We start from the raw sequence: 8,083 nt of genomic DNA on the forward strand, positions 1-8,083 counted from the left end.
AATTAATAATAAAATTTTTTTTAAAAATTAACTACTGTACAGAATTGGGCCATATATATTTTTTTTAATTAAGTCCAAACTTTACAAATTAAGCAATATATATGTGTGTGTGTATATATATATATATGTATATATATGTATATATGTATATATGTATATATATATGTATATATATGTATATATGTATATATATGTATATATATGTATATATGTATATATATGTATATATATGTATATATGTATATATGTATATATGTGTGTGTATGTATATATGTATATATGTATATATATGTATATATACGTATATATATGTATATATGTATATATATGTATATATATGTGTGTATATATATATATTGCGTTTGTGGTACACAGATGTCACAATCAATTTGTTTCATTGTAGTATTTTTGTAAACTTTTTTCCATGATCTTTCACCTATAGAGATATGAAGAAATAGAAGAGTAGAGGTAGGCAGTTGAAGGATGAACGAGACAGTCACCTGCAGATGCCCAACAGCAGCCAAGTCACACATTGTCTACTCTTGATCTAGTTAGATGGTGGAAAAGCAGTGCTGATTATAGCCCTGGCCTTTCAACTGAAAACTTGGAATGAGAGACACCTGCTTCATTTCTCAGTGGCTATTTCTTTACCTGAAAAAAATACCAACAGGGATCAGAAACTGAGCAAGGGGACACTCTTCACGTTTTGTTAGAAGTTCTGAGTTCAGTTTGTCAACACTGCAGGATGGCGGCTGATGGATGGATGCCCTCAACATAAGGAGAGCGCAGGATTCAGCTCACTCTTAACAGGCAGCAGGAAGAAACCCAAGTTGGGGGCAGGGGGAGAGTTGCTGAATTCCACCTACTGAAATCTGAAAAGCAAAATTGGTAAGAATGACGTTTGAAAGATCATTGGAATGTATGATGCACTGGGTCGAGAAATTTACAATAAACTCCAGTTTGAAGATGTGGCCTCAAGAAACACAAACTGAGAATGGATCACGCTGGTCCGCCTCCAGTTTGTTGAACCCAGGTTCCTGTGTTCCCGCTGCCTTTGGCCAGCAGCCCTGAGTCACCCTTTATCTGTCAAAGAACAGGTTTTCTTCATTCAATGAGCAAATAAACTATTGTTTCCTTGCAATTTCTTTCTTTTTTTTTTTTTTTTTTTTTTTTTTTTTGAGATGGAGTCTCGCTCTGACGCCCAGGCTGGAGTGCAGTGGCGCTATCTCGGCTCACGGCAGGCTCCGCCCCCTGGGTTCACGCCATTCTCCTGCCTCAGCCTCCGGAGTATCTGGGACTACAGGCGCCCGCCACCACGCCCGGCTAATTTTTTGTATTTTTAGTAGAGACGGGGTTTCGCCGTGTTAGCCAGGATGGTCTCGATCTCCTGACCTCGTGATCCACCCGCCTCGACCTCCCAAAGTGCTGGGATTACAGGCGTGAGCCATCGCGGCCGGCAATTTATTTCTTGGATTGTGAGGAACATTTGTCCTGTAGACTTTTCTATATTCTAGACCTTTCTGGTTGCATCCCTACACACTTCCTGTGAACTGGTGTTTACAGTACAAGCTCGAGACACTCACTCAGCTCTGCTTAAGTGGATTCATGAATTAGCAATCCTAGAAAGGCATAAGAAATAAGCATAGGCTGGGCATGGTGGCTCACGCCTATAATCCTAACACTTTGGGAGGCCGAGGCAGGAAGATCACTTGAGCTCTGGAGTTCGAGACCAGCCTGGGCAACATAGCAAGGCCCCCAAAAATAAAAATTTTAAAATTTTAAAAATAAAACACAAAAAAATAAATAAGCATATAGGTGACGAAGAAAATAAGTTTTAACACAAACTGTATCAATCCTGATGTGAAAAGTTGTGTCATCATTGTGTTTCTTTTTATATGCTTTCTTCAGTTTTCAGTGGTTTGAAACATTTCAGGCGATCTGACATACTAGAGAATTTAACATACAATTTTAATTGTAATCCTCAGGAAGCTCTAGCTATTTAAGCGTGCAATCAACGTTTAAATGCTAAAGAGTTCTGACTTTCTAAATAGATAAGTTTGATTTTCAACATCTAGAAACACTTTAAGGTTTTGATCTTACTAAAGGTACATTTTGATTAATGTATATTTGACTTATAAGACTTATCTAAATCCCTATCAAGATTTTATTCTTCAATATGTAAGGCTCTCTCTTAGGTGCCTGCAAAATTCAGATTTAAAGAAAGAGCTCAACTTTCCTATGTGAACTGCAGGGTAAGTTCTTCTTTTAGAAGAACATAGACTAATGAGTGCAGGAGTAAAAGCCTTGAAGTATCATCATTCCACAAACGCTAAGAAAGTAATGATTCTAGACCATCAGCTGCCAAAACCATCAGGTGGAAAGCCAAGGGGACACATTCACAACAGATGCATCTGGCTGAAAAAAAAAAAAAGAAAAAAAATATATATATATATAATTTTTTGAGAGACAGTCTCACTCTGTCACCCAGGCTGGAGTGCAGTGGCACAATCTTGGCTCACTGTGGCCTCTGCCTCCTGGGTTCAAGCAATTCTCCTGCCTCAGCCTCCCAAGTAGCTGGAATTACAGACATGCACCACCACACCTAGCTAATTTTTGTATTTTTAGTAGAGACAGGGTTTCACCATGTTGGTCAGGCTGGTGTCGAACTCCTGATCTCAAGGGATCCACCCGCCTCGGCCTCCCAAAGTGCGGGGATTACAGGCATAAGCCAGTGCACCCGGCCTATCTGGCTGATATTAATAAAACCTGAATCCATTCATCTTCACATCACATCACATCACAAAAAGAGGAACAGCCAGACATTCGTCTCCTGCTGGAAGTACACAATACCACCTAGAACACAGTCCTGCCAAAAAACCACTCCTGAGTGTGATCACTTCTCTAGCTTAAAGTTGTCAAATTTAGCAAATAAAAATGCAGAATGATTAAAAAAAAATACAGGGGCTAAGCGCAGGGGCTCACGCCTATAATCCCAGCACTTTGGGAGGATAAGGTGGGCATATTGCTTGAGCTTAGGAGTTCAAGACCAGCCTGGGCAACAGGCAAAACCCCTGTCTCTACAAAAAATACAAAAATTAGCCAAGCATAGTGGCATGCACCTGTAATCCCAGCTACCTGGGAGGCTGAAGTGGGAGGATCACTTGAGCTCAGGAGGTTGAGGCTGCAGTGAGCCGAGATTGCATCACTGCACTGCAGCCTGGGTGACAAAGTGAGATCCTGTCTCAAAGGAAAAAAATACAGGATGCCCAAATATTACAGGGGGCACACTTACACTAATAAAATTATTCATTGTTTAGCTGAAATTCAAATTTAGCTGGGCAGCCTGAATTTTATCTGGAAAACGTACTCTAAATCTAAACACCAGTTCACAGGAAATACATAGAGACACAGCCAGAAAAGTCTAAAATGTAGAAAACTCCGCAGGACAAATGTTCTTCAAAAAATAAATTGCAAGGAAACAATAGTTTATTTGCTCACTGAAAGAAAAAAAAATCCTATTTGTTCTTTGACAAATAAATTGCAGGAATGAAAGAGGGAGAAAAATCTATAGATTCTTTAGATTAAAAGAGACTTGGGCCAGGCACAGAGGCTCACCCCTATAATCCCAGCACGTTGGGAGGCCAAGGTGAGGTGGGCAGATCACTTGAGGTCAGGAATTCCAGACCAGCCTGGCCAATATGGCGAAACCCTGTCTCTACTTACAAAAATTAGCCTGGTGTGGTAGCATGCACCTGTAGTGTCAGCTACTCAGGAGGCTAAGGCATGAGAACTGCTTGAACCCGGGAGGCAGAGGTTGCAGTGAGCCAAGGTCACTCTACTGCACTCCAGCCTGGGCAACACCGTGAGAGGAGAGGAGAGGAAAAGAGAGGGGAGGGGAGGGTAGGAGAAGGGAGGAAAGAAAGGAAGAAAAGGAAGAAAGAAAGGAAAGAAAGGAAGGAAAGGAAAGAAAAGAAAGGAAGGAAGGAAGGGAAAAAAGAAAAGGAAGAAAAGAAAGAAAAAGAAAGAAAGAAGACTTGAGAGGTATACCAATAAATTTAATGTGTGGACTTTATTTGGACTTAATAAACATTTATGATACAATTAGAAAATTTGAAGACCAATAGAATATTTAGGAGTTATTGTTAAAAATTTTAAGTATCATGGTTGTGTTTTACAAAAGAATTTCTGTCTCTTAAAGATACACCCTGAAGTACTATGAATGAAATGATACAGTGCCTGAGATTTGCTTCAAACCAATCCTGTGGCAAGGTGGGAGGGGAAGAGAACACAGATGAAACAAGGTTAGCTGGTGCTGGTGGGCACGGTGGCTCACACCTCTAATTCCAGCTCTTTGGGAGGATTGCTGGAGCCCAGGATTTCAAGGCCAACCTGGGCAACATAGTAAGACCCCATCCCTACAAAAAAATTTAAAAATAAACCTGGCATGCTGGCACGTGCCTGCAGTCTCAGCTGCGAGGCTAATCATGCCACTGCAACCCAGCCTGGACAACAGAGTGAGACTTTGTCTCAAAAAAAAGATTAGCAGGTGTTGATAATTTCTGAAGCTGGGGGAGAAGTATGTGAGTTCACTATATTAGCCTATCTTTGCACATATGTTAAAAATTTTTAAAGTTTTTAAAAGGGGGGTTAAGAAAAACTAAGATTTAACTGTATAACTTAATAAATTGAATATTAAGACACCATCATCTGTAAGTTTGCATGCCTTCATAATTGAAATAAATGAAAATTTAAATTAGAATTCACTGAAAAAAATGCTATTTTTCCAATCTGTTTACAGACCGTTTGAATCTACCCAGTGATTCCTCTAGAAACCTGGGGGCATGTGAGGACACAGCCCTGCAGAAAGTGAAGCGTGGCCAGAGCTGCCTGGAGCCCTGCCTGTGCCAGCTCGTCTCCTGCCTTGAGTCCTTTGCGGTGGGAAGCAGGAAACTGTCGTACCAACTTATGCTTTGGTGTTTTGTTTTATTTCTTTCTCCTAAAATCATGGATTTTCTGGTTTTGTAATGTCGGGTCTTTATTTTGTAACTCAGCTTTAAGACAGATTGTGGATTTTTTTTTTTTGAGACGGAGTCTTGCTCTGTCACCCAGGCTGGAGTACAGTGGTGTGATCTCGGCTCACTGCAAGCTCCGTCTCCCGGGTTCAAGTGATTCTCCTGCCTCAGCCTCCCGAGTAGCTGGGATTATAGGCACCTGCCACCACGCTCGCCTAATTTTTGTATTTTTAGCAGAGACGGCATTTCGCCATGGTGGCCAGGCTGTTCTTGAACTCCTGACCTCAGGTGATCCACCCGCCTTGGCCTCCCAAAGTGCTGGGATTACAGGCGTGAGCCATTGCACCCAGCCTAGTTTGTGGATTTTTAAATTTCAGAACCAGGAAGACAGCGCTTCCAGCAACCGGTTTGTGCTCCCCAACTCTGTCACACCCCCTTACTGACATTTGCACGGGTGACCGCGGCCTACGGGTCGTACCAGGACGCCAACATTCCCTTTCCTAGGACTTCTGGGGCCAGGTTCTGTAGAGCAGGTGGGTCTCTTTGGTTCTCTGATTCTAGATTTTGAGAGGGAGCAGCTAAGAATGTCATAGATTCTGTATAAACATCTTCATCAGAAAACGTTTGCTTTTACTCCGGAGAACTCAAAGGAGACTTTCATAGTAGTGTGGCAGGGTCTGAGGCCCAGTCGGTGTCTGTGGACTTATCCTAAGGGGGTGCACCAGAATGGGGGTCTTAACTTTCTTCATTCTGATGAGCTTGGATTTCAGTCTTTACTCAGAGCCCTGATTCTTAGCAGGGGTCAGTCCCCTGGTAGGGAGGCTTAGAGTCCCGCTGATGACTCTGCCCAGTCCACATACATCCTCTCTCCTGGACCCTGGAGCGCTGACCTTTGTTCCTGGTAAGGGTGACTGCAGTCAGGAGTCTTGCAGCTTATGAAAATGTGTCTTACCCTCAGGTGTACAGAGATAGAAGAAAGACTGGCCAGTCCTGCCTCAGGATTTCCCACGGCCAGCTTGTTGACACTGATGGCTCACGTGATACCTCCTTCTTTAGGTTACCTGGTGTATTTCACAAGGCCCATGACGATGCATCGGGCGGTGCCTCCCACAGAGCCTACTCCGAGGTGAGTCCGGGAGATGCAGAAGCTGCTCTACGTTCCCAGGGCCAGAAGTGGCCAGAGACCTGCGAAGGACCACACAGTCTGTCTTTGGACAATGCGTTTTAGTTCTTCAGTAAACTCCCATTATAAGATTTGAGAAAGATGGAAGTTTATTATAAAAAAGCTGAGATTTCTGCTCTAAGATTTCTATCAAACCATTTGAAGTAGCTTGACAAAAGCTATTGTCAAAACAAGGCAAATTCTTTTTAAATGTGTTTTCTCCTATTTTTTGTTTTTTGAGATAGGCTCTCACTCTGTTGCCCAGGCTGGAGTGCAGTGGCACAATCACGACTCACCGTAGCCTTGAATTCCCTGGGCTCGGGTGAGTTTTAAATGTCACAATCACGACTCACCGTAGCCTTGAATTCCCTGGGCTCGGGTGAGTTTTAAATGTGCCTTTTTTTTTTTTTTTTAATGTGCTTTCCTCCTTTTTTTTTGTTTGTTTGTGATACGGTCTCACTCTGTTGCCCAGGCTGGAGTGCGGTGGCACAGTCACGGCTCACTGCAGCCTCCAACTTCGTGGGCTCAGGTGATCCTCCCACCTCATCCTCTTGAGTGGCTGGGACTACAGGTGTGCATCACCATGCCCACCTAATTTCTTTTCTTTTCTTTCTTTCTTTTTTGTAGAGACAGGGTTTCACCATGTTGCCCAGGCTGTCCTATTGTTAAAGTATTATTTATTTTTTAAAATTATTTTAATGTTATTATTTAATTAATATTAAATACGACCGAAAAAATAACAGAATAATCATCTGTAGTTCCATAACACTAATATGCCACTTCTAACCTTACCAAGACATGTAATTTTTAAAAATTACATAAGTAGGCAAGGCCCAGTGGCTCATGCCTTTAATCCCAACACTGTGGGAGGCTGAGGTGGGCGGATAGCCTGAGGTCAGGAGTTTGAGACCAGTTCTAGCCAACGTTGTGAAATACTACTAAAAATACAAAAAAATTAGCCAGACGTAGTGGCGGGCACCTGTAATCCCAGCTACTCGGGAGACTGAGGCAGGGGAATTGCTTGAACCTGGGAGGTGGAGGTTGCAGTGAGCCGAGATCGCGCCATTGCACTCCAGCCTGGGCGATAGAGTAAGACTCCATCTAAAAAAAAAACAAAAACAAAAAAACAAAAAAAAATTACATAAGTATGTTGGGAAAACAAACAATGAGGAAATTTTAAATTACAATGTGAAAGCCCTTATTTTCCTTTTCCATGTCTCTGAGAGAGCCATGTTTAATAACGGAACATGTATCTGTCCAGTTGTCATTATTTTTCTGTGCTTTCTTTCTTTCTTTGTTTTTTTACAGATAATCTAGTGCAGCAGATAGGAGTGTGGATTTCAGAGCCAGACTGCTGGGTCCAAATTTTGGCCCTGTCATTTTATGACCTTGAGCAAGTTATCTTAACTTCAGCTTCAGTTTCTTCAACAGTAACATGGGGATGATTGTAGCACCTACCACCTGCAGTTGCTGGGAAGATTAAGTTCCTATAAAAACATTTTAAAGGCTGGGTGCAGTGGCTCACACCTGTAATCCCAGCATTTTGGGAGGCTGAGGTGTGAGGATCACTTGAGGTCAGGAGTTCAAGATCAGCCCGGCCAACATGGTGAAACCCGTCGCTATTAAACATAACAAAAAAAGTAGCCAGGTGTGGTGGCACATGCCTGTAATCCAGGAGGCTGAGGCAGGAGAATCACCTGAACCCAGAAGGCAGAGGTTGCAGTGAGCTGAGATTATGCCACTGCAGTCCAGCCTGAGTGACGAAGCGAGACTCTGTCTCAAAAATAAATAAATAAATAATAAAATAAAAATAAGAAAAGCATTTAAAACACCACCTGGCACATTGGAAATGCTCTACATTTCCTGTTTCGATTACTGGCTTTTAAAACTTTAGGGTAATACAGTAGAC

The 8,083-nt window shown here is 42.2% G+C and overlaps 1 long non-coding RNA gene across 1 annotated transcript; it reads left to right on the forward strand.

Moving 5' to 3' along the window:
• Positions 1-5,359: 5,359 nt before the first annotated feature.
• On the forward strand, positions 5,360-7,687 carry LOC105371343 (uncharacterized). The gene is made up of 3 exons (XR_933739.2): positions 5,360-5,545; positions 6,069-6,138; positions 7,483-7,687. It is a non-coding gene; the product is annotated as an uncharacterized LOC105371343 (long non-coding RNA).
• Positions 7,688-8,083: the final 396 nt, after the last annotated feature.

This window comes from Homo sapiens, chromosome 16, assembly GCF_000001405.40.
Source record: "Homo sapiens chromosome 16, GRCh38.p14 Primary Assembly".
Classification (NCBI taxonomy): Eukaryota; Metazoa; Chordata; class Mammalia; order Primates; family Hominidae; genus Homo; species Homo sapiens.